This window comes from Homo sapiens, chromosome 16 (assembly GCF_000001405.40).
Source record: "Homo sapiens chromosome 16, GRCh38.p14 Primary Assembly".
NCBI lineage: Eukaryota > Metazoa > Chordata > Mammalia > Primates > Hominidae > Homo > Homo sapiens.
The window spans coordinates 57,994,216-58,022,006 of NC_000016.10; the positions used below are offsets into that span (position 1 = coordinate 57,994,216).

At 51.4% G+C, this 27,791-nt stretch overlaps 2 protein-coding genes across 9 annotated transcripts, besides 10 other annotated features; one reads left to right on the top strand and one right to left on the bottom strand.

The window, feature by feature from the left end:
* Positions 1–460: 460 nt before the first annotated feature.
* ZNF319 (zinc finger protein 319) lies at positions 461–6,457 on the bottom strand. 4 transcript variants are annotated; one of them, NM_001384366.1, is made up of 3 exons: positions 6,186–6,457; positions 5,278–5,450; positions 461–4,307 (listed from the first exon to the last, which is right to left on the bottom strand). In NM_001384366.1, exon 3 carries the CDS (start codon positions 4,048–4,050, stop codon positions 2,302–2,304), a length of 1,749 nt encoding a protein of 582 aa, NP_001371295.1. In that variant the 5' UTR covers positions 4,051–4,307; positions 5,278–5,450; positions 6,186–6,457; the 3' UTR covers positions 461–2,301. The 4 variants fall into 4 exon arrangements, with proteins under 4 accessions (NP_001371295.1, NP_001371296.1, NP_001371294.1 ...); NM_001384367.1 differs by having other exon boundaries at positions 5,278–5,455; NM_001384365.1 differs by lacking the exon at positions 5,278–5,450.
* On the top strand, positions 5,388–27,403 carry USB1 (U6 snRNA biogenesis phosphodiesterase 1). Of its 5 annotated transcripts, none has more exons than NM_001330568.2 (7): positions 5,388–5,468; positions 8,264–8,430; positions 15,714–15,897; positions 20,058–20,111; positions 23,119–23,224; positions 24,757–24,840; positions 25,926–27,403. In NM_001330568.2, the coding sequence occupies exons 2-7, from the start codon at positions 8,319–8,321 to the stop codon at positions 26,028–26,030; spliced, it is 645 nt and encodes a 214-aa protein (NP_001317497.1). In that variant the 5' UTR covers positions 5,388–5,468; positions 8,264–8,318; the 3' UTR covers positions 26,031–27,403. The 5 variants fall into 5 exon arrangements, with proteins under 5 accessions (NP_001317497.1, NP_078874.2, NP_001182231.1 ...); NM_024598.4 differs by lacking the exon at positions 5,388–5,468 and adding an exon at positions 7,192–7,366; NM_001195302.2 differs by lacking the exons at positions 5,388–5,468; positions 20,058–20,111 and adding an exon at positions 7,192–7,366.
* Positions 5,541–5,810: an enhancer, noted in NCBI's record as "active region_10919". NCBI's record gives its function as "activates an Ori minimal core promoter by ATAC-STARR-seq in GM12878 lymphoblastoid cells {active_cell/tissue: GM12878}" and the evidence as "EXISTENCE:reporter gene assay evidence [ECO:0000049][PMID:35858748]".
* Positions 5,931–6,060: a silencer, noted in NCBI's record as "silent region_7539". NCBI's record gives its function as "represses an Ori minimal core promoter by ATAC-STARR-seq in GM12878 lymphoblastoid cells {active_cell/tissue: GM12878}" and the evidence as "EXISTENCE:reporter gene assay evidence [ECO:0000049][PMID:35858748]".
* Positions 6,111–6,710: a silencer, noted in NCBI's record as "silent region_7540". NCBI's record gives its function as "represses an Ori minimal core promoter by ATAC-STARR-seq in GM12878 lymphoblastoid cells {active_cell/tissue: GM12878}" and the evidence as "EXISTENCE:reporter gene assay evidence [ECO:0000049][PMID:35858748]".
* Positions 6,668–6,837: an enhancer, noted in NCBI's record as "experimental_43822 CRE fragment used in MPRA reporter constructs". NCBI's record gives its function as "activates a minimal promoter by MPRAs in K562 erythroleukemia cells, with activity observed for both the introgressed and non-introgressed 16:58034872 variant alleles {active_cell/tissue: K562}" and the evidence as "EXISTENCE:reporter gene assay evidence [ECO:0000049][PMID:34662402]".
* Positions 7,001–7,250: a silencer, noted in NCBI's record as "silent region_7541". NCBI's record gives its function as "represses an Ori minimal core promoter by ATAC-STARR-seq in GM12878 lymphoblastoid cells {active_cell/tissue: GM12878}" and the evidence as "EXISTENCE:reporter gene assay evidence [ECO:0000049][PMID:35858748]".
* Positions 7,001–7,304: a biological region, named in NCBI's record as "Sharpr-MPRA regulatory region 3942".
* Positions 7,010–7,304: an enhancer, noted in NCBI's record as "tiled region #3942; HepG2 Activating DNase unmatched - State 1:Tss, and K562 Activating DNase matched - State 1:Tss". NCBI's record gives its function as "activates a minimal TATA promoter and a strong SV40 promoter by Sharpr-MPRA in HepG2 and K562 cells {active_cell/tissue: HepG2 | K562}" and the evidence as "EXISTENCE:reporter gene assay evidence [ECO:0000049][PMID:27701403]".
* Positions 7,331–7,430: an enhancer, noted in NCBI's record as "active region_10920". NCBI's record gives its function as "activates an Ori minimal core promoter by ATAC-STARR-seq in GM12878 lymphoblastoid cells {active_cell/tissue: GM12878}" and the evidence as "EXISTENCE:reporter gene assay evidence [ECO:0000049][PMID:35858748]".
* Positions 17,996–18,528: an enhancer, noted in NCBI's record as "H3K27ac hESC enhancer chr16:58046115-58046647 (GRCh37/hg19 assembly coordinates)". NCBI's record gives its function as "activates a minimal SCP1, AML or CMV promoter by ChIP-STARR-seq in naive H9 embryonic stem cells {active_cell/tissue: H9 hESC(naive)}" and the evidence as "EXISTENCE:reporter gene assay evidence [ECO:0000049][PMID:30033119]".
* Positions 18,529–19,060: an enhancer, noted in NCBI's record as "H3K27ac hESC enhancer chr16:58046648-58047179 (GRCh37/hg19 assembly coordinates)". NCBI's record gives its function as "activates a minimal SCP1, AML or CMV promoter by ChIP-STARR-seq in naive H9 embryonic stem cells {active_cell/tissue: H9 hESC(naive)}" and the evidence as "EXISTENCE:reporter gene assay evidence [ECO:0000049][PMID:30033119]".

A 27,791-nucleotide genomic window follows, 5' to 3' on the forward strand; every position in this document is an offset into this window, starting at 1 on the left:
TTCCACTGGGGCTGCGCAAGCTCTCATGCTCACCAGGCCCAGTGCCTGGCTTCCAGGCTTCCATGAGCTGCTGCTCTCTCACAGGTCAGCTCCCACTTCGGGGGCTGTGGTTAAAGCCAATGGAAGTGAGGAGGTCTCAGGCTCATTCCTGAAAATCCCAGGTGTCCTGGAGTTGGTACTGTCAGCATCTTCAAACATCCCCACCAGGGACTTTCTATAGGGCTCTATTTAATTCTCACAACAACCAAGCAAGGCAAGGTGAACCTCCCCATTTTACAGATGAGGCAACTGAGTCCCAAAGAGGTTCCCAAGGCCACACAGCCAGAACGTTCAAAGCTCAGGATTCAAACCCAGCCCTATGCCCCAGTCTCCAAGCCGCCACTCAGGCCTGTGCCCCTCTCTGCCTCTCCATGTCCATCGTTCCCCTGTGGAAGAAGGAGCAGAACAAGCAGTGCAGTGGTCTGTGACGGTCAATGTCTTTACTTCTAAAGCATACATTGGACTCACTATATATTAACATCAAAAGTGGCTACCTAAAATGGAGTCATTCTTTTTAAAAATCCAAATCCTCACATTTTTATATAAGATCCAAAATGACATGAAATTAAACTCTACAATGTTATGAATAGTATAACAAACTGCTTTCAGAAAGCAAAATGAAAGGAAAAGAATTAGCAGTTGGGACGGTTGTAGGCCTGGGTTCCATGTCTTTTGAGGCATTGTGACAGAGAGCCAGCACCGAGGGGAAGGACCAGCCCCTCCCTGTGGCCACAGGAAGGAACTCAGTCAGACAGAGGAGGTGGGCGTGGCTGGTCAGCCTTCTTACGGTGACAGAGAAGCATGGTGGCATCTCCCTGCCCCTCAGGGCCCTTGGTGTGCCCACTGATTAGTCTTCTTTCAAGACCAGGGAGGGGTGGGGCTGGAAGAGGGCAGGGGATAGAGCAGGGTTCAAAATGATTATTTTAATAATAAAGGTCCTTCTGGGCTTCCTAAGGAGGGCCGTAGCCACCCAGCGATGTTGGTCAACTCCATCCACCAGGTCCCCCACAGGCTTCCTTAACCCACTTGCTCTTTCTGCTCCCTATGACTGGGATACCCTCTGCTTCATGAGCCTCATGGGCAGCCAGAGACCTAGGGGGACTCTAGGAGGACCCAAAGGACACTCTGGCCTTTGAAGTAGCTGGATGTTGTCCAGAACATCTTGGCTGTACCAGACCCCTGGGGTCCAGGCCAGCAGCCACATTGATGTAGGGAGGGTACTGGGGGGGTCCCCACCCTGGCCTAGTCTTGGCTCTGAAGCAGGACTGGGTTGAGCTGACTGGGGCTGTGCCCCAAGCCCCTGACGCTTTGGTTCACACAATTCAGGGGAGGACACTTGTTTGCATCTGCTGGGGAGATCCTAGGCCTGGTCCTGCTTCCTCCCAGCCTCAGGTGGGCTGACAATCCCTGCCTTTCACACCAGCAGTTCTGTCTGCTGAGAGCACGGCACATTCCCCACCACACCTAGGAACTGCACTACAAAGGTGGGAGGGGCGCTTCCAAAACCGGAGGATTTGCCCTTAGCAGAGACAGGCTGCTTTTCCTCCTGTCCCCAAGGATGGCACTGTCCCTTGGCTGAGGGTGTCACACGAACTTCTCAGCTTCCCCCTTCCCCCTGGGCCCACTGGTCTCCAGGCAGACCCAGCCCCAAGACCCACCCTGCACATCTCCCCTGCCAGAAACCTGGGGACACGTCGCCCCTGGCTAGAGCAGACGGAGAGGGCTGTGACTCACCCTCTGCCCTCCCAGTCCCCAGGCCTACGTCTTAAAGCTGGCCTTCTCCCCCACACGGCAACTGATGCCTTACACCTAGCCCACCTCTGGGGCCCCAGCCCCACCATGAGCCTCCGCTTTCCTAACCTATGTGGCTGCTAGCTTGAAAGATATGGGAAGGTTGGGCTGGCATCACACCCTCCTTAGGGCAGGGAGAAGCCACTTGACTTCCAGCCTGGCTCCAGTGCCCCGGAAATAAGGGGGGTGCTGATGGCTCTCAAGAAAGTGAATCTTGTCATGGGAAAGAGGTTTGTGGAATCAGGATGGGCCACAGCAATCTGGCCGCCCGCACTGCCCGCTGGTGCCAGGAGTACGAGCGGCACACCCTCTCCCTGCCTCATACCCCTGCGTCCTCACTCCCGAGGTCTCAGAACACCGAGCTGGGTGGGGCCCTTGGTGCAAGGCAGCTGTGAGGAGCTAGGCTGCGCGAGGCCTGCTGGGCCCACGGCGCCGACTCAGGTCAGGCTGGTAGGGGCCACAGCCGCAGAGTCAGGGCAGGCAGGCGGCTACCTGGTAGGCGCCCTCCGCTGCCGCGGCGGCGGCACTGTGCTGCGCGCTGTGCTCCTGCAACAAGGCCACGTCTAGGAAGCGCTCCCCGCACCATACACACTTGAACTGCTGCTCGCGGGCGTGCACGCCCTGGTGCTTGTTGAGATGCTCCCGCTGCTTGAAGGCCTTGTCGCAGTTGGGGCACTTGTAGGGCTTCTCGCCTGTGTGTACCCGCCGGTGCCGCTGCAGGTCTGACGCGTACTTGAAGCGTTTCTCGCAGTCTGGGCACTTGAGTGGCTTCTCGCGGGCCGGATCGCAGCGGTGCTGCACGAACTCGGAAGAGGAGAAGAAGCGGCGTTCGCAAAGCGTGCAGCGCAGGGGCTTCTCTGCCGCCGCACAGTGGGCCAGCTGGTGCTTCTGCAGGGCCGACGCGCGCTTGTAGGCCTTGTTGCACACAGGGCACTTGAAGGGCCGCTCGGCCGCGCCGGGCAGGCACTTGTGCCGCAGCAGCTCGGCAGATTGGTCAAAGCCTTTCTGGCACACGGGGCACTTGAAGAGAGTCTCGAGGGTGTGCACGTGCTGGTGGTAGAGCAGGTGGCTGGGCTGCCCAAAGCCCTTCTCACATAGGCCGCATTTGAAGGGCTCCTCGGTCTTGTGTGTGCGCCGGTGGCGCATCAGTGCGTACTGCTGCTTGAAGCCCATGGGGCACAGGTCGCACTTGAAGGGCCGCTCGGCGCTGTGTGTGCGCTCATGCTGCCGCAGGTCCGAGGGCCGCTTGAAGGCCTTCTGGCACTCGCCGCAGCGGAAGGGCCGCTCCCCACTTGGCGTGCACGGGTGCTGCAGCAGCTCCGACGACTCCTTGAAATGCAACTCGCACACGTTGCAGCGGAACAGGTGGTGCTCGCCCGAGTGCGCGTACATGTGGCGCACCAGGTGAGAGCGGTGCTTGAAGGTCTTCTCGCAGACTGCGCACTTGTAGGGCCGCTCGGAGCTGTGCGTGCGCTTGTGGTGCACCAGGTGCGACGACTGGCTGAAGCTTTTGTCACACAGCGTGCACTTGTAGGGCTTCTCACCGGTGTGGATCCGCTCATGCCGAGAGAGCTCCGACAGGTGCTTGAAGGGCTTTTGGCAGATGGGGCAGCTGTAGGGCTTGTCGGCCTGTTCAGCAGGGGTGACAGTGGAAGGCGCGGGTGCTGCGGGAAGCGACGGGGCGGCTGTGGTGGCTGGCTCCGCTGCCTCAGCTGGCTTGTAGGTCTTTTCACAGATGGAACACTTCACCAGGCCACTGTGGGAGCTGTGGTGCTGTGCCAGTGAGGTGAGTAGTGAGAAGCCCATCTTGCAGACCCCACAGACGAAGGGCTTCTGCTCAGCCTGCACGCACTGGTGCTCCAGCAGGTCAGTGGCCTGGTGGAAGATCTTGAGACACTGTGTGCACTGGAATGAGCGGTCATGGCCCGCCAGACACTGGTGCTCATGCGGACTGGACAGGTGCGCCAGGTCGTGACCACACACGCCACATTTGGGGCCTGGCTCTCCTGCTGCCTGCAGGGGTGCGTGTTGTGGGGGCTGCAGGCCGGGGTCTGGCTGCAGGAGGATGCCATAGACGGCACAGCCCAGGGGGTTCTCCGCCGTGCCCGGAGGCAGCGTGTGCTCTGCCAGGGCTGGCGGTGGCTCTGCATGGTGCTGAGGCTGCGGTGGCTGTGGCTGCTGCGGCTGCGTCTGTGGCGGCTGTTGCCAGCTTTCCGACATGCTTGGGAAGATGAAACAGGGTTTGGAGAGTAATGGCTTCAGTTTCCCGCTTCACGTGACCCAATCCAGAGAGAGAAGCTGCCCAATCACAGAGATGGACAAGGACCTCAGACAAGGCACAGAAGAGGGGCTGGTCAGACAGCCCGAGTCAGTAACCAAGCGGACAGACTACAAGGCTCTGCCTACAGGACATGGGGGCTCTTCAAGGGAGGGTCCCAGCAGTGCCGGGGAGACTCTGCCTTCCCCAGTGATCCGTTCTGTAGAGAAGAGAGAAAGTATGAGCTCGAGGAAGGAACAAGCAGCAGTTTCCTGGGCCTTCTCCCTGTCCTGCCCGCACTCACCACACCATCACAAACCACACATCGGGGAAGGCAGAGGTGCTCAGGGCTGCAGGACTCCTCCCTTCTTAGGCAATCAGAGAGGTCTGCAGCCAGCTCAGCTCCTCCAGGCAGAGGAAATGGCAGCGGCCTCCACCCCCACCCACCTCAGTGCCCCGCCCCTGGGCCAGGACATCCCAGCCTCCACAAGTCCCCTCCAGCTTCCTGCCAACCCTTTAGCTGAGACTCACAGGTGAGAGTCCGGGGTTATCTGCCTACAATACAGAATCCTCCTTAAGGCCCGCAGCTCCTCTCCTGTTGCTACCCTGAGTCTTAATACGGGCCACACCACTTAGAGCTAAGGAGGCCAGACCTCCCAGGTCTGAGAGCCCAGTGGCAAATGGCCTCTGACAGTCAATATTTAGGACAACTACGTGGAACCAAGGACCATTTCAAAAACTCTCACCTATGAGGGACTGACCACACCCCTTCAACTATCCCTGACCACAGGCCCATTCTCTCTCCGCGTGACAGGATGGGTGGCCCTACAGGAACCAGAGCCCATAGGTGATGGGGGCTAGATGAGAGGGCCACAGAACCACCCAGGCTTGATGTCCACACAGCAGAACTTCCTCACTCTGGTTCTCTCCCAGAACTCACACACACACACACACACACACACACACACACAAAGTCCTAAATCCTCTGAATCTCATAGTGTCAAGGCCTGCAGGAAAATGTAAGAAACTGCCCTGGTCTGCCTTGGCAATGCAGGATGCAGCATGCTAACCACAGAGCATTTCTCATCACCTCTCTAGAGACAACTCCATTCCCTTACTCCAAGCCTATAAAGTTCTGGGTAATTGTTGGAAGGTAAAGCCCACCCAGCCCAGGCAAATCTCTAACTCACCACTTTGTGGCAGCATGAGGTAATGCCAGCGAGAGGGAGGAACTTTCAGAGTCAGATGCAACCCACTTCCAGGTTCCCAGCTCATCTGCCTCTTACATTTAAAAGTTTGTAAGTTTTCTCCTGAGCAGAGGAAGAAGGAAGGAGAAGCCTTCACAGGACAGTCTGGCCTCTAACTGCTCTGCCAAAGAAATGTAAGAGTCAGGCTAAAAGCTGTCATCCTCAGCATCTTCCGGAAGGGAGGGAGGAGAGGAGCGGCTGCTCTGGGTGGAGGCAGCAGGTTGCTTGAGCAAGCAGGTACCACTCTAAGCCTTCTCGGGACAGAGAGGGGGAAGGTGGGCTTCTCTGAGCGCCTGTAGGTCCGCTGTGCCAACCCACTGTTTTGTTTGCTTTTTCTGGCATGAATGGCTGTCAGACAGTGTCCCCTGGCTTGGTCTGCAGCACCCCCTGCCCACCCTGGCCCTCCTGCAGCAAGGTGCAGCCAGGAAGCCTCTGTGATCACTCCGCAAAGGGGAGAGAGGAGGCAAGGAGAGGCAGGGGAGGCCCCCCACCTGCGCCCCACCCCGTCTCTTCTTCCTCCCTGAGAAACCGAATGAAAGCCGATCACCTCCCGCCGGCCCTGCCTGCAGGCCCAGCTGGGCTGCGTCCTGTCAGCCCTCGTCCGGGATGGCCCGGCCGCTGCGACCCGAGGGCGAGCCCCGAGGGCGGCCGGGCTGGAGAAAGGCCCCAGGGCTACAGGCCGGGCCCAGGAAGCGGCTGCGCCTCGAGGCCCGGCCTGGGCCGCCCAGAAGCTCAAGAGGCCGCTAGGTCGCGGCGGAGGGGCGCGGGGGGGCGGCCGGGCCGGCAGAGGAAGGGGTGCGGCGGGCGCGGGGGTGGCCCCCAGATGCGGCCCCGGGCGCCCCGCCGCTCACCTGCTCCAGGCCGCCTGCAGGGCAGGCGCGGGGCGAGCGGCGACCAGCTGCTCTCTCGGCCGCCCCTTTATTCCGGCTCCATCCGCGGCGGCGCGGCCTACGCGCGCTGCCAATCCCCGGCCTCGCGTAGCGGCTGCGGCCGGACCGGGGGCGGGGGACGGGCTAGCGGCGGCCGGAACGGAGGAAGCGACGCGCGCTGCCGGAGTAGCGGGGCCGGGGCGAGGAGCGCCGGGAGGGCGGGCGGACGGACCGATGGCCTTGCGGAGACGGGCGGACGGGCGGGCGGCGCGGGGGCCAGGGAGGCGGGGCCGGGGGAGGAGCGGCATCCCGGGCGGCGGCGGCCAATGCGGGAGGAGCGGGCGGCGCGGAGCGAGGCCGCCCCCTGCCGGGGACCCCGTGGCCGGGCCAGGTCGGACAAGCCGGGTGCTCCGGGCGGTTTTCGAGTCGCCAGGCCTGGGCGCCTCGACTAACCGAGGAAGGGCGCTCTGCTTCCGGCCACCCCGCTCGGGCTTAGGGGAGGGGGCTCCGGGTGACCGCCCTCGGCCCGGCTCTGCGCAGGAGAGGAGGGGCCTCCTAGAGGCTCTGGTCTGCCACAATTGATCCGCCCCTAACTGCTCAGCTTGGCTTTTAGGGGCTTGGACTTTGGGCTGGTTTGAGGAGGGGGCTCCAGGACCTCTGATCCTGGCCGGGCTCGGGGCAGGCAGGGGTCTCCGCTGGGTCTAGTGCGCTGACCCGGGACTGTCGTGTCTGGTATGTCTGGTCCCGGGTGGCTGCAGACAGCAGCGGGCAGAAAGGTGAGGGCCCTGAGCGATATATGAAATGGGTACACGAAGGCTGGGGAGGTCCCAGCGGGGTGCCGGGAGGCTGCAGGTGACCAGATCCGCGTGCGCAGCCGGCAGACAGCTTGGAGTCGGTGGGCTGAATCTTCACCACTGTCCTGCCGGGTTCCGCCCCTCCCGGCTCCGCCCCGAGGCGGTGCCAGCCCAGGCCCCGCCCCTGGGAGGGCGCTTCCGGCACAGCGGAACTCCGGGTGCCGGTTGAGGTTGCTGGTGGACCTGCTCTGGTGGTCTTGGATGAGGCCCCATGAGCGCGGCGCCCCTGGTGGGCTACAGCAGCAGCGGCTCCGAGGATGAGTCCGAGGACGGGATGCGGACCAGGCCGGGGGATGGGAGCCACCGTCGGTGAGGAGTGAGGAAGTCTCTCCGGAGGGCGCGCGCATTCACCCTAGAGCCAGACGGGACCCGAATGTCTGGGGGTGGAGTGGGGAGGGAGGATGCGGGGCGGCTCTGGGAAGGAAAAGGGGACGCAGGAAGAAAGGAGGATCCAGAAGATATACCCCTCCCCCCCACCCCAGACAAAGCTCCAGAGTGGCCCCACCTGGCTAGGGCCAAGTTGGGAGGCCAGACCTGGGTTCGGGTCCAGCCTCGCGCTGGCCCACTCTATCGCCTGGCACACATCCCTGTACCATCCTAGGTCCGTTTCCTGATTTGAATACAATTGCGATAGTAATACTTGCTAAAGCGTAGGGAGAGCCTTTTCATTCATCCAGTAAATATTCACTGAGCACCCACTCCCTGCCAGGCTGGGGTCTGGTAATTCAGTGGTGAACAAAACCGTCGGCCTTACTTCCTGGGGCTTAGATTCTTAAATGCTAGGCCTTATCTTTGCTGAGTGCTTTACAAGCAGTAGCTCAGTTGATCCCACAATTGCTCTATCAGGTAGACATATACTTTCAGATGAGGCATTTGAGGCCCAGAAAGGGGACATGACTTGCCCAAGGTCATAGAGCTAGAAAGTGCTACTCCAGCTGCAGCCTGTCCAGCTTGGAAATGTGACCCCTGAACCACATTGTTGCATGCCCTGTTGTTTCCCATGGGGACCTTGTGCCCCAGAGTTGGAGACCCCAATGAGACAATACTGGAGAAACAATTTCGCTATCTAGAAGCTGCTTCCAGCACCAGGCTGGAAACACACACTCAGAGCCACCATATATAAGGGGTTACAACTTTTGTGGTATATACAAAGGTAGAGAATGCTAACAGGATAAATGTACTCATTTTTCTTTTTTTCTTTTGCAGTGGCCAGAGCCCCCTTCCCAGGCAGAGATTTCCAGTACCTGACAGTGTGCTGAACATGTTCCCGGGCACCGAGGAGGGGCCTGAAGATGACAGCACAAAACACGGGGGACGGGTGCGCACCTTCCCCCACGAGCGAGGCAACTGGGCCACCCACGTCTATGTACCATGTGAGTGATGTGTGAAAGGCAAGTTGCCAAGACCCATAGACCCGTAGGTGCCTCATGAAGGGCAGAATCTGGCCCCAACTAGAAGGAAGAAACCAGAAACCTCTAACACTGGTGGTGGGAAAGTCATTGACTTAGCAGAGAAAGAGCAGGTTTCAAGAACTGGGGATTTTTCTGTCATCTTGGTTTTGAATTCGTAGCCTAAAATGTGTATTACCTCTGGGTATAATATTCTCCCTGTTCACGAGGAGGTGACCAAAGGAGAATCTGGAGCAGGGTGTCAAGGTCATGCCAGGCACTTTATTTCTGAGAGGGCCCTGGGTACGCTGGGTGTGCAAGGTTCAAATCCCACCCTAGCTCTGATCAGCAGGTGGAAGACAAAAAATGCCCAGGCTTCAGAGTCAGACCTCACTCCGCTGCCCACTACTCTGGGTGCCCTTTATAAGATACTAGACTTCTCAGAGCTTCAGTTTCTTCAAATCTAAAATGGGGGTAGCACTGGCTAGGCCAGGTGGCTCACACCTATAGTCCCAGCACTTTGGGAAGCGGAGGCAGGCAGATCACTTGAGCCCAGGTGTTTGAGACCAGCCTCGGCAACAGGTAGAAACCCTGTTTCTACCAAAAATACAAAAAAATTAGCCAGGTGTGGTGGCACACGCCTATGGTTCCCACTACTTGAGAGGCTGAGGTAGGCGGATTGACTGACCCTGGGAGGTAGAGACTGTGGTGTGCCAAGATCGCTCCACTGCACTCCAGCCTGGGTGACAGAGTGAGACTCCATCTCAAATAAGACAGTTTGGTGGCTTCTTACAAAACTAAACATACTCTTATCATAAAATCCAGCAATTACATTCCTTGGTTTTTGCCCAAAGGAGTTGCATTTGGTATTGACAGTGTTCTGGAGTTTAGCCATTCTAATAGGTGTGTAGCAATATGTCACTGTTGTCTGTTAATTTGCATTTCCCTGATGACATATGATCCAGATCATCTTTTCAATGCTTTTTGCCATCTGTGTATCTTCCTCAGTGAGGTGTCTGTTAAGGTCTTTTGCCCACTTTTTAATCATTTTTGTTTATTAATATTAATCATTTTTGTTTATTAATAAATTTTAATCATTTTTGTTTATTTAATATTATGATGTGGGTCTAATATTGGATCTTAAAATATTGAGTTTTAAGAGTTCTTTATATTTGAAATAATAGTCCTTTATCAGATACGTCTTTTGCAAATACATTTTTTTCCCAGCCAGTCGCTTGTCTTTTCATTCTCTTGACGTTGTCCTTCACAGAGCAGAAGTTTTTAAGTTTAATGAAGTCCAGCTTATCAATTATTTCTTTCATGGATCTTGCCTTTGGTGTCATATCTAAAAAGTTGTCACCAAACCCAAGATCATCTACATTTTTCTCCTATGTTATCTTTCAGGAATCTTACAGTTTTGCATTTTACATTTAGTTCTGTGTCCATTTTGAGTTAATTTTTGTGAAAGGTGGAAGGTCTGTGTCTAGATTCCTTTTCTTATATATGGATATCCAGTTATTCCAGCACCATTGGTTGAAAAGACTCTCTTTTTCACATTGTATTGCTTTTGCTCCTTTGCCAAAGATCGGTTGACTGTATTGATGTGGGTCTATTTCTGGGTTCTCAATTCTGTTCCATTCATCTATTTGTTCACCAATACCATTGGTGAACTGTTTTGATTGCTGTAACTTTACATAGTTAAGTCTCGAAGTTGGGTAGTTTCAGTCCTCCAACTTTGTTCTTCTCCTTCAGTAGTGTGTTGACTATTCTGGGTTTTTTGGGGGCTTTTTTTGGTTTTTTTTAGAGATAGGGTCTCACTATATTGCCCAAGCTGGTCTTGAATTCCTGGGCTCAAGCAATCCTCTGGCCTCAGCCTCCCAAAGTGCTTGGATTACAGGGATGAGCCACAGCACTTGGCCTGTTTTGGTTTTTTACCTCTCCATGTACACCTTAGAATCCGTTTGTCAGTATCACAAAATAACTTGCTGAGATTTTGACTGGGATTGTATTGAATCTGTAGATCAAATTGGGAAGAACTGACATCTTTACAATATTGAATCTTTCTGTCTATAAACATAGAATATCTTGTAGGGTCCAGCCCCACTGGGTCGGTGGGTTTTCTCCCTGTGTGCGGAGACGAGAGATTGTAGAAATAAAGACACAAGACAAAGAGATAAGAGAAAAGACAGCTGGGCCCGGGGGACCACTACTACCAAGACGCGGAGACCGGTAGTGGCCTCGAATGCCAGGCTGCGCTGATATTTATTGGATACAAGACAAAGGGTCAGGGTAAGGAGTGTGAGCCATCTCCAATGATTGACAAGGTTACGTGAGTCACGCCACTTGGACGGGGGCCCTTGCCTGCCTGGCAGCTGAGGCAGAGAGAGAGAGGGAGAGAGAGAGGACAGCTTACACCATTATTTCTGCATATCAGAGACTTTTAGTACTTTCACTAATTTTGCTACTGCTAGCTAAAAGGCAGAGCCAGGTGTACAGGTGTGAAGGCAGACTAGGAGCATGACCACTGAAGCACAGCATCACAGGGAGATGGTTAGGCCTCCAGATAACTGCGGGCGGGCCTAACTGATGTTAGGCCCTCCACAAGAGGTGGAGGAGCAGAGTCTTCTCTAAACTCCCCTGGGGAAAGGGAGACTCCCTTTCCCGGTCTGCTAAGTAGCGGGTGTTTTCCCTTGGCACTGACGCTACCGTTAGACCACGGTCCACTTGGCAATGGGCATCTTCCCAGACGCTGGCATTACTGCTAGACCAAGGAGCCCTCTGGTGGCCCTGTCCGGGCATGACAGAGGGCTCGCACTCTTGTCTTCTGGTCACTTCTCACTATGTCCCCTCAGCTCCTATCTCTGTATGGCCTGGTTTTTCCTAGGTTATGATTATAGAGCGAGGATTATTATATATTGGAATAAAGAGTAATTGCTACAAACTAATGATTAATAATATTCATATATAATCATGTCTATGATCTAGATCTAGTATAACTCTTGTTGTTTTATATATTTTATTATACTGGAACAACTCGTGCCCTCGGTCTCTTGCCTCGGCACCTGGATGGCTTGCCACCCACAACATCTCTCCACTTACTTAGTTCTTCTTTGATTTCTTTCATCAGAGTTTTATAGTTTTCCTCATATAGATCTTATACTTATTTTGTTAGATTTATACTTAAGTATTTCATTTTGCTGGGGGTGCTAAGGTAAACCCTGTATCTTTAATTTCAAATCCTACTTGTTCGTTGCTGGTGTATAGGAAAGCAAATATACAGAAGTTGACTTTTGTATGTTAACTTTGTACACTGCAACCTTGCTATATCATTTATTACTTCCAGGAAATTTTTTTTGGTAGTTCTTTTGGATTTTCTCCGTAGACAATTATGTCATCTATGAAGAAAAACACGCTGGGTGTGGTGGCTCACACCTGTAATCCCAGCACTTTGGGAGGTCAAGGTGGACAGATTACCTGAGGTTGGGAGTTCAAGACCAGCCTGACCAACATGGAGAAACCCCATTTCTACTAAAAATACAAAATTAGCCAGCCGTGGTGGGACATGCCTGTAGTCCCAGCTACTTGGGAGGCTGAGGTAGGAGAATCACTTGAACCCAGGAGGCAATGGTTGCAGTGAGCCAAGATTGCACCATTGCACTCCGTCCTGGTCAACAAGAGCAAAACCTCGTTTCAAAAAAAAAAAAAAACAAAAAAAAAAAACGGACACAGTGGCTCACACCTGTAATCCCAGCACTTTGGGAGGCCAAGGCGGGCAGATCACAAGGTCAGGAGTTCAAGACCAGCCTGGCCAACATGGCGAAACCCCCATCTCTACTAAAAATACAAAAATTAGCTGGGCATGGTGGCACATGCCTGTAATCCCAGCTACTTAGAAGGCTGAGGCAGGAGAATTGCTTGAACCCGGGAGGTGGAGGTTGCAGTGAGCGGAGAGTGCACCACTGCACTCCAGCCTGGGCAACAGAGCAAGACTCTGTCTTGGGGAAAAAAAAAAGAAAAACAGGCTTATTTCTTCTTTGCTAATCTGTATACCTTTTATTTCCTTTTCTTGCCTTATTGCATTAGCTAGGACTTCCAGTATGAGTTGAAAAGCAATAGTGAGAGGAGGCATCATTACCTTGTTCCTGATCTTAATGGGAAAGCTTTGGAGTTTCCTATCAGTTAGCTATAGGTATTTTTAGACATTCTCTATCAAGTTAACAAAGTTCCCCTCTATTCCTAGTTTTCTGAGAGTTTTTATCTTGAATGGGTATTGGATTTTGTCAAATACTTTTTCTGTATTTATTGATAGGATCATTTGATTTTTCTCCTTTAGCCTATTGATTGGATGGATTACATTAATTGATTTTTGAATGTTGAGCCTGCTTTGAATACCTGGGATAAATCCCATTTAGTTGTGGAGCATTATTCTCTTTATATGTTGTTGTATTCAATTTGCTAATATTTTCTTGAAAATCTTGCATCTCTGTCCATGAGAGATATGGGTCTGTAGTTTTCTTGTAATGTCTTTTTCTGGTATTGGTATGAGGATAATGCTGGCCTCATGGAATAAGTCAGGAAGTATTCTCTCTGCTTTTGTCTTCTGAAAGATTATAGATAATTGGTTTAATTTTTTCCTTAAATGTTTGGTGGGATTCTCTAGTGAACCGAACCCATCTGGGCCTGGTGCCTTCTGTTTTGGAAGGTAATTTTTGTTTGTTTGTTTGTTTGTTTGTTTTTCGGAGACAGAGTCTCACTCTGTTGCCCAGGATGGAGCACACTGGCATGATCTCGGCTCACTGCAACCTCTGCCTCCCAGGTTCAAGCTATTCTCCTGCCTCAGCCTCATGAGTAGCTGGGATTACAGGCACCTACCACCACGCCTGGCTAATTTTTGTATTTTTAGTAAAGACACAGTTTCGCCATGTTGGCCAGGCTGTTCTCAAACTCCTGACCTCCGGTGAACCACCCACCTTGGCCTCCCAAAGTGCTGGGATGACAGGTGTGAGCCACAGAGCCCAGCCGGAAGGTAATTATTTATTTATTCAGGCTGGGTGCAGTGGCTTACGCCTATCATCCAGCACTTTGGGAGGCCAACACGGGCAGATTGCCTGAGTTTGAGACCAGCCTGGGCAACATGGTGAAACCCTGTCTTTACTAAAAAAATACAAAAAAATTAGCCATGCTTGGTGGCGGGTGCCTGTAATCCCAGCTACTCGGGAGACTGAGGCAGGAGAATCGCTTGAACCTGGGAGGCGGAGATTGCAGTGAACCAAGATTGCACCACCGTACTCCATCCTGGGCAAAAGAGTGAGACTCTGTCTCAAAAAAAAAATAATAATAATTCAATTTGTTTAATAGATTTAGGCCTATTTAGATTATTTCTTCTTTTGTGAGTTTTAGCAGATCGGGTCTTTCAAGGAATTGTTCCAGTTCATCTAGGTTATCAAATTTGTGGACATAAAGTTATTCATGGTATTCTTTGATTATCCTTTTATTATCCATGGGATCTGTAATGATGTCCCATCTTTCATTCCTGATTTTAGTAATTTGTGTGCCCTCTCTATTTTTCTTAGTTAGCCTGGCTAGAAACTTGTTGATTTACTGATCTTTTCAAACAACCAGCTTTTGGTTTTATTGATTTTCTTTATTGATTTCTTGTCTTCAATTTTATTGATTTCTGCTCTAATTTTAATTATTTCTTTACTTCTGCTTACTTTGGATTAAATTTGCTGTTGTTTTTCTACTTTCCTAAGATGAAACTCAGATGATTGACTTTAGATCTTTTTCTTTTTCTTTTTTTTTTTTTTTTTTGTGAGGGAGCCTCGATCCGTCACCCAGGCTGGAGTACAGTGGCGCAATCTCAGCTCACTGCAACTTCCGCCTCCCAGGTTCAAGTGGTTCTCCTGTCTCAGCCTCCCAAGTAGCTAGGACTATAGGCACGCACCACCGTGCCCAGTTATTTTTGTATTTTTAGTAGAGACGGGGTGTCACCATATTGGTCAGGCTGGTCTCGAACTCCTGACCTCCAGTGATCCACCTGCCTCTGCCTCCCAAAGTGCTGGAATTACAGGCGTGAGCCACCATACCCGGCCTAGATCTTCTTTTCTAATATATGCATTTGATGCTATAAATATTCTTCTAAGCACCTTTTGCTGCATTCCACAAGTTTTGATAAGTTATGTTTTCATTTTTATTTTGTTCAAAATATTTATAAAGTTTTCTGGAGATTTCTTCTTTGATCCGTGTGTTATTTAGAAGTGTGTTTTTTAATCTCCAAGTATTTGGGGATTTTCCAGCTACATTTCTGTTACAGACTTTTAGTCTAATTTCATTGTGGCCTGAGATCAGACATTGTATGGTTTCTAGTCTTTTATATTTAAGGGGTTCTGATGCTTACTATTTTTCTTCAGATTGTATTTTTGCCCTTTAGTATGTCTTGTAATTTTTCCTCGATAGCTGGACATGAAGTACTATGTAAAAGGAACTGTGGTAAACAGGCCTGTATGAATGTGGTGGTGAGGTGGTGGGGGACAAGAATCCTTCTGTAGTCCTGTGATTGGGTGTCAATCTTTTGGTGAGCCGGTTCCTCTGGACTGGGAACTTCCCACACGCTTCTCAGAATTTTCCCCTTCCTAGGTGGGACAGGATGACCAGAAGGTGCTGCAGTTTGGTATTTCACTTCCCCTAGGTCAGTTAAGAGTCTGATAAAACACTTTCAGGTTAGGCTGTAATTCAGTAAGTTTCTCCTGAGGGTAGACCTTGTTAAGAAAAACTGGAGGCTGGGCGCAGTGGCTCACGCCTGTAATCCCAGCACTTTGGGAGGCCGAGGCGGGCGGATCACGAGGTCAGGAGATCGAGACCATCCTGGCTAACACGGTGAAACCCCGTCTCTACTAAAAATACAAAAAAAAAATATTATCCAGGCGTGGTGGCGGGCGCCCGTAGTCCCAGCTACTCGGGAGGCTGAGGCAGGAGAATGGCATGAACCCGGGAAACGGAGCTTGCAGTGAGCCGAGATTGCACCACTGCACTCCAGCCTGGGCGGCAGAGCAAGACTCCTTCTCAAAAAAAAAAAAATAATAATAAATAAATAAATAAATAAATGAAAATAAAATTATATTAGAAGACATAGACATAGGCTGCTGTCCAAGTAATTTTCTCCCCAAACCCAGAGTAATAAGGACTTCCCTCTGCCTTCTGGGCTTCTTCATTCAGCCATGGCACCTTGGCTGAGAGAACGGCCCGCCCTCTTTACTCCTCCCCTCCAGATGAAGCCAAGGAGGAGTTCCTGGATCTGCTTGATGTGTTGCTGCCCCATGCCCAGACATATGTCCCCCGGCTGGTAAGGATGAAGGTGTTCCACCTCAGCCTGTCCCAGAGTGTGGTTCTGCGCCACCACTGGATCCTCCCCTTCGTGCAGGCTCTGAAAGCCCGTATGACCTCCTTCCACAGGTGAGTGCTTCTTCCCTCTGCCTCTCCACTCCCTCCCCTCCATGGCTTCTCCTCCTCTCCTGAGCTACTGCGGGCATTACCCCAGCAGGCAGGCAGACCTAAAGATAGAACACGGCCCCTCTCCTGGGGCTGCCTGCTCTACTTCTCATCCTCCGTGACCTTGGGCATGCCGTGGAAGCTCTTGACACCCCTGATGCCGTATCTGCTCTGTAGGAAAAGCCAGCTGTTTTTCTGTAAGCTCTTGCTCAGTACTTCCAGCACTTCTGTGACCAGATGTGTTGAGTTTTTTTCCACACCAACAAATTATCCAACTCTCCAGACACCCACTGGGTGTCCTATAATCGAACTCAATTCTGACACTAATAACCCAGGGTTAGTGCAGACTTCATAGGTTAAGGACTCAGTCCCACAAGACTGCGCTCCTTGTCAGACACCATCTGCAGTGTTGAGCTCTCAGGTTACCCACAACATCTGTCTGATTTCACTACAAATCAGAGGTTCTGTGGACCCTCTCCTCAGGTTTGATCATTTGCTAGAATGGCTCACAGAATTCAGGCAAACAGTCCACTTACTAGGGCGCCAGTTTATTACAAAGGATATGTTACAGGATACACATGAACAGCCAGATGAAGAGATAGGTAGGGTGAGGTCTGGAAGGGTCCCGAGCATGGGAGCTTCTGACCCTGTGGAGTTGGGAGTGAGCCACCCTCCCAGCACATGGGTGCGTTCTTAATCACCAAGGGAAGCTCCTCAAACCCTGTAGTTCCAAATTTTTACGGAGGCTTCATCACATAGGCATGATGGATTATTAACTCAGTCTCTAGCTTCCCTCCCATACCGGGAGGGTAGGGGGTGGGGCTGAAAGTTCCCAGCTTCTAATCATGCCTTGCTCTTTCTGTGATCAGCCCCCATCCAGGACCTCATTGCCTCATTGGAACCAAAGATGCCCCTGTCACCCAGGAAATTCCAAAGGATTTAGGAGCTCTGCGTCAGGAGCCAGGATCACAGACCAGATAATAGAACAAAAGATGCTCCTAGCACCCCTGCTGCTTAGGAAATGACACAGGTTTTAGGATCTCTGTGTCAGGAACTGGAGGCTGAGACCAACACATATGTTATCATTTCACAGTGATAGGTCAAACAGGTCATGGTAATGGTGGGAGCTACCTCACTGGGGGCCTATGGGGGTGAAAGGAGATCATGGGTGCCCTCAGCACACCACTTGGGTGAAGGGTTAGTACCAGACCCCACTTCTGGTTTTGTCTGCCAGCCTGGGGCTTTTTTTTTCCCCTTACCTATTAGATTATTTCATAACTCTTTTCCTACCAGAAATGCATCTCCTGCTAGACTGGTCCAGATCAAAACCCTGCTCTTTCACTGAGGCTCTCCCGGTTGGCATATCCTGCAGAATCCCTCCGTCCAGAGATCAGTCGGTCCTGTGGTTGTTTCACAGGTGACTCCTCTGTCCAGAGATCAGTCGGTCCTGTGGTTGTTTCACAGGTGACACCTCCGTCCAGAGATCAGTTGGCCCTGTGGTTGTTTCACAGGTGACCCCTCCATCCAGAGATCAGTTGGTCCTGTGGTTCTTTACCCCTGGTGGTCATTTCACTCACCCTCATATGCAGTCGTTCCTGTGTCCATCTTCCTTCCTGGAGCCCACATTCCTCCAGGCCAGGACTGTGGCTTCTCTCTGAATTGCCCCACAGCTTTTTTCCAAGTGCTCTGCTCACAGTAGACATCAAATAGATGCTTGTTGAGTCATGGTGCGGGAATGAGGGAGCCTAGAGAATATCTTTCTGGATCCTCTACTGTTGATACTAGAAGGAGCCTAAGAAGCCACCCGGCTGATGGTTTTCTGACCCTGCCTTTATCAGCAGAGCCTTTTTTCAAATGAGGTGTTGCACAAAAGCCTGATGTGTGGCTGTGTAAAACAGAAATAAACAGTCTTCTAGCCAAAGCCCCATTCCCACAGTTCAGGGGGCCATAGGCCCAGGAATTCCATAGGATGTCACTGCCCAACTAGGAAACTGCTCAGTTAGCTGAACCCCTTCTGAGGGCCAGAGGAGGACAGGATTTGTCCCAATCCAGACACTCGGCCAGGGAATAAGGGCTGAAACTCATCTCTCAACCTAGTCCAGCCCTCCCCCTCTTTGGATTGTCATTATCAAGTTGATTGATTGTATATTATCAGGACTCTCTTAACCACAGGTGCCAGAAGCCCATGCCAGAAGCCCAACCCAAAGTGGCTTAAACCAAAGAGAAATTTATAGGCTGGTATAACTAAAAGATTCAGAGGTAGCACTGGCTCATGCATGAGTGGACCGGGGTGACAAGATATCAGATGGCACCTGACTGTCACCACCACAGGCAGACTGTTCACCATCTCAGCTCTGTCCCCTTCCTTTGTCACAATGACGAAGCCACCGCATCTCCCGGCTAATGGTGTACCAGCCTGGAAAGACAGCCTCCCTCTCTGATTGGCTTCAGCACAAGTCACAGGAATGACTGCCTGGTCTGACCCGTCTCCTGTGTGCTTTCTTTGGGAGTAAAGAGTTAACAGGCCCTTCCCCCTTCCACAGAGAGTGCTTCCCTTATCCTGCGGAAGCTCTGCCCCTGGATGAAGGAGGAGAGCGGCTATGTTAGTGCTGATGACTGGCACACTGCACTTGCGCTAGGAAGACAGCATGAACTGCACCCCTCCAGGGAAGCCACGGCCTGGGCTCCCCTGCATACAGTGGTTCCTTAACTGGGCACGAGTCCCTTGCTGGGACTTAGGAAAACTCTGCCTAAAGTCCATTGCAAGAAATACTGATCCCTGTGGGATGTATATGTGGCTGGTTCCCTTGCTCACTGAGAGACTAGAAAACAGCACCTGGACCCCTGGGCTGGTTCCCTCTGAGGAAAGGATCTGTGTCATGAGTGAAGCCCGGGCAGGTGTGGTCTGTTCAACTTTGATCATCTGGTTGAGCCTAAGGTGACCAAGAGTGGGCGGTGCACCCCTGATTCTGTTGCTGTGACTGAGGAAATGCTAAGCTCTGTTTGGCCAGGCCTGGGCAGCCTGCCTCTGGAGTAGGGGTGGAGAGCCATCCTGCAACACGAGGTTACCAGGAGAAGGAGTTTTGGTTGGGCACAGACATCCAGTGTCCACTCCAGGATGTTTGGGAGACACCTTGAGAACTCTTCCTAAAAGCTGCACTTAACCAAGCTCCTGGTGGTTCTGTGATCCCTTACATTTTCTCCAGAGGCAGAGAGTTGGCTGACTGACTTTTGCCCTTGGGCAGATTGTGAGGCTCTACCCAGCATGCTGGTATATTATGTTCCCTCAGATGGGGGTGAGACCCTTGGCCTGGGGGCTGTAAAATGATCTGTTTCTGTGAGGAGACTTTCCATGGTGAGATTGCTAGTGTCTCAGAGAATAAAGGACAGAACCAGTCCAAGTCAAAGCACTTACCTAGCTGAGCCTGACTCTTCCCGTGTTATTGATCTGAGGGGTGGGTGGGTGGGGGCATCTGTCTCGATTTCACACCAACAGACCTATTCCCCTCACGAAAGCGTCATAGGTGACAACAAGGACTCTGGAAACAGGCAGACTGACTGTTCCAATCCTGGCTCACCAAATTCAGCTTCACCATGCCTCTGTTTCTTTGTCTGTAAAATGGGCATAATTGTAGGCCTGCTCACAGAGTTGTGTGAGGATTCGAGAAACAGAGTGTGCAAAGGCTTGAGCTCAGCCCTGACACACGAAGAAATGTTGTCGTGATTGCTTAGATGAAATCGGAGTCATCTATTTTAAAAAACTGCAAGAAATGAATCAGCTGTTAAGTGGTCCATTATCACCTACTTGATCAATAAGGCTTTCTCAGTTCCCATCAGTGAAGTTGAGATAGTCTCAAATTGTTTATCGAAATGAACTGCTATTAACAAAGTAAAATTTTTACTAGCACCTGGATGATGTTGTGTGTTACTCGGGCTGGGTGATTTTAAGGTCTTGTCCAGCTCTAATGTTTAAGGTTCAGTATACCACCTGCATAATGGGGTGATAATATGAAGTGCAAAATGAGTTAACTATATTTTCAAAGTGCTGTTTTTTTTTAACATAAGCTATTTTTTCTGCTTTTTTTCTTACGATTTTTCCTGAAATATGGTCTTCTAAATTTCAGATTCTTCTTTACTGCCAACCAGGTAAAGATTTACACCAATCAAGAGAAAACCAGGTGGGTCCTCCCAACCCCCAATCACCATCAGAGGAAGATTCTTTGGTGCAAAAATTGAGTGCTTTGTTTCTGGACTTGTTTGTCCCATTTTTTGTTTGCTTTTAACCAACTCTATGACTATAAAGGCAGCTATCCCCAAATCTGAACCTTTCTTTAAGAAAAATAACTGGGAGATCCCAGGCACAGTAGCGCATGCCTGTAATTCCAGCACTTTGGGAGGCTGAAGCAGGTGGATAGCTTGAGCTCAGGAGTTCCAGACCAGCCTGGGCAACATGGCCAAACCGTGTCTCTATGAAAAATACAAAAATTAGCTGAGCATGGTAGTGTGTGCCTGTAGTTCCAGCTACTTGGGAGGCTGAGATGGGAGGATCGCTTGAGCCCTGGAGGTCGAGGCTGCAGTGAGCCAAGATTGCACCACTGCACTCCAGCCTGGGCAACAGAGTGAGACCCTGTCTCAAAAAAATAAAAGGCCAGGTGCGGTGGCTCACGCTTGTAATCCCAGCACTTTGAGAGGCCAAGGTGGGCAGATCACCTGAGGTCAGGAGTTCGAGACCAGCCTGCCTGACATGGCGAAACCCCATCTCCACTAAAAATACAAAAAATTAGCTGGGTGTGGTGGCAGGCGCCTGTAATCCCAGCTACTCGAGAGGCTGAGGCAGGAGAATCGCTTGAACCCTAGAGGAGGAGGTTGCAGTGAGCCAAGATCACACCACTGCACTCTATCCTGGGTGACAAGAGTGAAACTCTGTCTCAAAAATAAATAAATAAATAAATAAATAAATAAATAAATAAATAATGACTGGAGGAGCATGTAGTGGGGTGGTGCCCAGAGATTGAGAGAAGCATCTTGGTTTAGTGAAAACCTGTGAAAGTCAGGAAACCTGTTTCTGCCCAGCTCCATCCCAGTTGTGGTGTTTAGTCCGTGTCTTCATCTCTGTGACCTTTCATTTTCACACTGGCACACGCCTCCCAACATCCACTGTTGGGCAGTTGTAAGGCTCAAATGAGCCCCAAGGCCTTTGAAAAGTTAAAAGTATTAAAGTGTTAGATGAACATAAGAAGAAATGATTATCCTGCCTTCAAAGCGAGCCTCCCTGTCTGATGCACTCACTGGGCCACCTTCTCTGAGCACTTCTGAAAGGGGCCTCATTTATTCATTCATTTATTCCATGCTGCACAAGTTTGTTAAGCACCCACTTGTGCCAGGCATTTGCTGTACACTAAGGATTCATCAGTGAAGAGGTAGACACAGCCCCTGCTCTTTTCAATCTCATATTCAGAGGGGAGACAGATAATAAACAAGTAATGAGAGTGTTTGTTAATAACTGTGGTGTGATATGGTCAGGAGTGGGTAGTCCAGGAGGGTACCAGGGAAGTGGCCAGGGAGATGGCATTTGATGGTGACCTGAGAATGAGAAGCCAGCCTTGGGAAGAGCTGTTGCAAGAGCTTCAAGCAGAGGACATAGCAAACTAAGTGACTCCGAGGCAGGGAAGATTTCAGCATGTTTGAGGAGGCCAGTGAGGCAGACCCCAGAAAGCACGAGGGAGAATGATAGGAGATGAGATGGGTAGGGTTAGCCCATCCAGGGGCTGCAAGCTCAAGTAAGGAGTTTGAATTTTCAGTATAATGGAAGCCATTGGAGGGATTTGAACAGAGGAGAGGCATGACCTGATCTATATCTGGGGATGTCAGTCTGGCTAGTGGTGTGTCTGTGGCCATGGAGTCTGGGGGCAAGATAGAAGGGAGCAAGAGTGGATGCAGGGAAACCAGAGAGGAGCCAGGTGTCATTGTCCAGGTGAGGGACCATTGGTGGCCTAGATTAGGGTGATGGCCATGGAAGACCAAGAGGTGGACACATTGGAGATACACTAGAGGCAGAAGCAACCAAATTACCAATGGGTTGGATTTATGTGAAGCAAGGGGAAGACGAACATTGATTCCTGGGTTTGAGGCTAGAACAACTGGCCCCGTTTTCTGTGATAAGAGACACTGGTGGGATGAAAAGCAAAAGTGCTGCTTTGTACCTGTTTGTTTGTACCTGCTAGGTTTTGCTATCTATTGGACCCCTAGGTGGAAATGTCACATATACAACTGGGTGTTCAGGAGAGGGACCAGCTGGAGATAGAAATGTGGGCAGTGTTGGCCTGTGTGGGAAGCGGGGCTGGGTGAGATCAGCCTCCTGGAGAGTGCAGATGGAGAAGATCCAGTGATCTTCACCACGGGGAGGCTGGAGAGGAGAGAGGGTGGCAGAGGACACTGAACCGGGAGACAGGAGGCAGGATTAAACCAAGACTGCGTGGCAGGTGATGTCTTGGGAGCCAAGAGAGAAAAGGGTTTCAAGGAGGGAAGAGTCCACTGTGTGAGATACTGCTGGGTGCGTACGAGGCGGACAGCGAAGTGTCCCTTGGATTTGGTAACGTGGAGGTTGTTGGCAACTTTGACAAGAGGACTCCCAGCAAAGTGGGTTGAAGATGGGAGGTGAGAAAGAGATAGTGATGGTGGACAAATGGTCTTTTTGAGAAGTTTCACTGAGAATGGGATGGGGACGTGCTGAAACCGTGGGTTCAGGGGAGAGTTTTTAAAGATGAGAGAGCATGCCTGAGTGCTTGTGGGAGGCGTGGCAGATGCCTGGGAGCAAAGTCCTCGAGAAGAGGCCTCCTTGAGGACAGGAGTCATTTGCGATTGGAATGATGATGGAGAATGGGGGTGCAGAAGCTTCTGGGTTTGTGACTTGGCAGTGGTGGGTGAAGGCGTTCCTGGAAGGGTTATTAGATCCAGAGAAGGGAGGAGAGCTGTGTGGGTGAGAACTGGGAAAGGAAGATTTACAGACAGAGAATCTGAGGACTGAGAGAGTTGGCTCATGGAGCAGGAAAGCGAGTGTACCAGGGAGACGGTGAGACCCACGGCCCAGGCCTCTTGGCCTTCTGCCTGGCTCCTGCTCGGCTGCGCAGATGGCTGTGTTCTCAGAGGCTACATCTCATGCCTGCGTTGTCTTCCTCTCCCCAGGACCTTTATTGGGCTTGAGGTCACTTCAGGGCATGCCCAGTTCCTGGACCTGGTTTCAGAGGTGGACAGAGTCATGGAGGAATTCAACCTCACCACTTTCTACCAGGTAATGAATGGGGCTGCTGCTTCTCCATTGACCCATTTCTAATGAGAATAAAACTGTCTTTAAAGAAGCCCTCGTAAGAGGCAAACCGAAGACCCTTCAGAACCTCCCGTGTCGGTGCTCTGAATGCCAGCCTTCTGAGGATGCACACCTCGGGGGGTGAGGGCTTTGAGGTGTAGTCAGATGCAGCCCACCCAAAGTCCAACATTTCTTAGAAATTTTGCTTTATATCCTAAATACGCCCGAGATTTGTACCTTCTGCTCCATAATGTTCCCGTGTTGTTTTCACATTTTTTAAGTAGATGTCCCTAATAATTTTTGGTCAGATTGACCCTCAGAGAGGAGTTGTAGCTTCACACACCTTCCTGCACCTTGCCCAGGCCCTCCAAGGGCACTTGGACTCTAAGTCGACTCTCAGGGCTTTGAAGGGCCATTCATTTTATTTGATATATGTTTTTAAACCGTGCTGAGGGAGATAAGTATGAATTTGAATGGAGACAATTATTGTTGCTTCAAAACTTGAGACTTTGGGGATTTTGTTCATGTCATCTGAAAAGTATGGTGTATACTGGAATGTCCTAGATCAGAATAGAGGGTGGATTTTCTTTCATGTCACAGATGTAATGACCCTCTGATACTTCAGGGAAAGCCTCTGTGAATACGACTGTCTTAGCTCAGGCTGTCATAACAAAATACCATAGACTGGGTGGCCTAAATAACAGAAATTTATTTTTGCACAGTTCTGGAGGCTAGAAGTCCAAGATCAAGGTGACAGCATGGTTGATGTCTTTTTTTTTTTTTTTTTTTGGAGACAGAGTCTTACTCTGTCGCCCATGCTGGAGTGCAGTGGCGCAATCTCAGCTCCCTGCAACCTCCGCCTCCCAGGTTCAAGCAATTCTGCCTCAGTCTCCCAAGTGGCTGGGACTACATGTGTACAACACCACGCCCAGCTAATTTTTGTATTTTTAGTAGAGACGGGGTTTCACCATGTTGGCCAGGCTGGTCTCAAACTCCTGACCTCAGGTGATCTGCCTGCCTTGGCCTCTCAAAGTGCTAGGATTACAGGTGTGAGCCACTGCACCCGGCCAAGCGTGGTCGGTTTCTGGTGAGGGTTCTTCCTGGCATATAGATGGCCGCCTTCACATGGCGGGGCAGGGGTTGGGGGCTACAGAGAGAGAGAGCAGTGCCCAAGCTCTCTGTGATTAAAGGGCACTAATCATGAGGGTCCTGCCCTCATGACCTCATCTAACCCTAATTACCCCTCAAAGGCCCCATCTTTACATACTATCACATTGGGGGTTAGGGCTACATGAATTTGGGGGAGGTGACACGATTCAGTCCATAGCAAGGACCAGTCCTGTGCTGTTTTGTCTGTCTGTGGAGGGTGCTTGGGATCAACACTGAGTATCTTGTCTCCCACTGGGCAGGCCAGGGATCCAGCAGGGATGTCACGACAGCTCTGTCACAGACCTGCTGTGAGGGCAGGGCCTGCCAAGGCGTCCGGGTGACTGCCTGCCTCTCGTTTCCCTCCCCAGGATCCTTCTTTCCACCTCAGCCTGGCCTGGTGTGTGGGTGATGCACGTCTCCAGCTGGAGGGGCAGTGCCTGCAGGAACTACAGGTGAATTTCCAGGGCGGGAGCACAGAGGGCGCTGAACTCCAGAAATGACAGGACAGATGCTGGAGAGGGGGAGGATGAGGCACCCAAACCTGAATCCCTGGGAAACAAATGACATGGCAGGAGACCCCAACACCTTCCCTTGTGACTCAAGGTGTGGCCCCTGGACCAGCAGCTTCAGTGTCACCTGAAGCTTATTAACAACACAGATCTTTGCCCCCACCCCCACCAAGACCTAAGAAATCAGAATTACATTTTAACAAGATCTCTGGGGATTTGTGTGCACATTACAGTTCTAGGGAGCACTGCCCTAGAACACTGATCTGCGAGGAGGCTGCAGGCTTTCCCTGAAGTCCTAGCCACTTGCCCAGAGGTCAGAGGCTTGGGCCTGGCACTGAAAATGGGTGAAATGTACCAGGGGTAAGGAACATCCAGCCCCCAGAGTCTATCAGATTTTGATAAGTAGCTGAAAGATTCCACTTTCCCATCTGCGCCCTTGGAGGAGAACCAGCAAGTTACATGAAGTGGTAAGCGGCGGCTGATACTCCAGCCCTGGTTGGGGAGACAGTAGGGAGTGTGGCCATGCGGGAAGATTGGCCTAGAGTTGCCAGCACTTCTGTTTCATAAGAGAAGCCAGAAACCTAGATTTTTACATGTAATCTGTCAGTTTTCAAATGTCAGCAACTAATTTGGATGTTTAAAAAACATTTTGCAACCAAACCAAACGTGCAGGCTGGATGCAGCTGTGGTCCCTCGTTAAGGAGCCACCTTGCGCTTGGCCTGATGTTGCTGGAGGTGGCAAAGAGCTCTAGTTTGGGCTCCGGCAGACCTGGGTCCCAGGCCTGGTTTTATTGGTTTCTGTGATCCAGGGCTCTGAGCATCTGTGTCCTCATCTGTAAAGTTGAGATGATAGGACCAACCTCAGAGATTACAGAAGTGATCAGACAAGATCACCAATGCAGAGCCTGGAGCCTGCAGCCTCAGCCTCGCCCAGCCTCTGAAGTTGGGTGAGCTGGTTTTGTTTGCAGTGCCCTGTGGGTCCCAGATGCCCCTTAATGTGACTGTCCTCCCCTGGCTGCTGTTTTAAGGCAATCGTGGATGGGTTTGAAGATGCTGAGGTGCTGCTGCGCGTGCACACTGAGCAAGTCCGCTGCAAGTCTGGGAACAAGTTCTTCTCGATGCCTTTGAAGTGAGCACCAGAGGCCTTCCTCCTCCAGGGCCCTCTGCAGACCAGGCTGAGATGGAGGAACCTGCTAAAATCGATGGAGATGCTTCTAGCCTCCCAGTAGGAGGCCCCAGCCATGCCTTCAACCTGGCAGGAGGTGTAGCCACTCCTCATCCTCCCTGAGTGCTGATATTCTCTCTCTCTCTTTCTCTTCCTCTTCTTTCTCTCTCTTCTCCTCTCTTTCTCTCCTCTGTCTCTCTTCCTCTCCTCTCTTCCTCTCTTCTCTCTTCCTCTCCTCTCTCTCTTCCTCTTCTCTCTCTTCCCCTCCTGTCTCTCCTCCCCTCCTCTCTTCCTCTCCTCTCTCTTCCTCTCCTCTCTCTACCCCTCCTGTCTCTCCTCCCCTCCTCTCTCTTCCTCTCCTCTCTCTCTTCCTCTCCTCTCTCTTCCCTTCCTGTCTCTCTTCCCCTCCTCTCTCTCTTCCTGTCCTCTATCTCTTCCCCTCCTCTATCTCTTCCTCTCCTCTCTCTCTTCCTCTCCTCTCTCTCTCTTGCTTTCTTCTCTCTCTCCTGTCTCGGCTGTTGTGGGTTGCAGGTTGGGTGCTGCTGTTGTGGTCCTTCCCAGAAACTGCCAGTAGAGGGCAGCCTGGGCATCCTAATGCTTACTCTGGTTGTTACACAAAGAAAATATTGGGGTCACTGGCGAGCCCACCCACACTCACCAGAATCTCCACTGTAGTCCCCCTAACAAACAGCCCTTCACTTCCTCTCCCACTTCAGCAATTTGTATTTTGATGCCATTGGCCTCAGATCAGAGTGTTTTAAATCATCACGCCCTGGCTTATCCCTGGTCGAGCCAGGACACGGGGTGCTTCAGTGGGTCTGTCACCCTCTCTCCTTGAAGCATGTTGCTTTTATTTATTTACTTTTACTCTCACCCTGCTCCTGTACCAGCAGGGGCCACTTCAAAGCCAAGGTACAGGGTGATAACTTGTGGTCCAGCATCAGTTTTCTCCACTTCTTTCTCCCACTCACCCCCAGCAAGGTGCCTGGGGAGACTTGAGCAGATGTTTCATTTTGGCCTGGCCAGTGGCTGAAAGCCAGGCCTCCAATGCACTGTGACCTCTGGCTTCCCCAGCAGCTTTCCCAGAGAGGCAGAGGGGCCTTCCACAGCCCGGGTTCTCCTGCTGCCTCCTGCCTGCTGCAGCTGCAGGCATTCTGAGGGGCAACGTGGAGGAAGGGCCAGGGATGCATGGGATTTTAATTGTTTCATCACACCTTCCCCGTGGCAAAGAAACAGTCAGTCCTCTTCAGGTGTCTTCTGGATTTCTGGTGATGGACAGAGAAATCTTTTTACAGTTTCAAATTATGTTCAACAAATAAAAATTGCATTTTTTATTTTGGATCTTTTTTGGACTACTTGTATTTAACCCAGTGAAAAGATGACTGTCACCTTCCCCTACCCTGTCCAGCTGTGTCTCACAGTTTGGGAGGATTCTTGGAAGTCTCTGCTGTGACTTCCAAGATGGCCTCGAGAGGCATTAATGATGCTTCAGTAAAATAAGGGTAGGGAGGGGTCACCCAGCCTGCCAGGTGTACACACAGAGTTCTCACATAGGACATCTAGCCTGGAGCTAGGTGGCAGGGGTCACCACCCTCATCCCTCACCCACATAGGCAGACATTGAAGCCTTATACTGCTGTGACACTGAGCACTTCCCAGAACCTTCTCGTGTCTTCCTCCCAGTATCCCCTGAAAGGTAAACAGGGTGGGAATGTCTAGTCCTCTGTTAC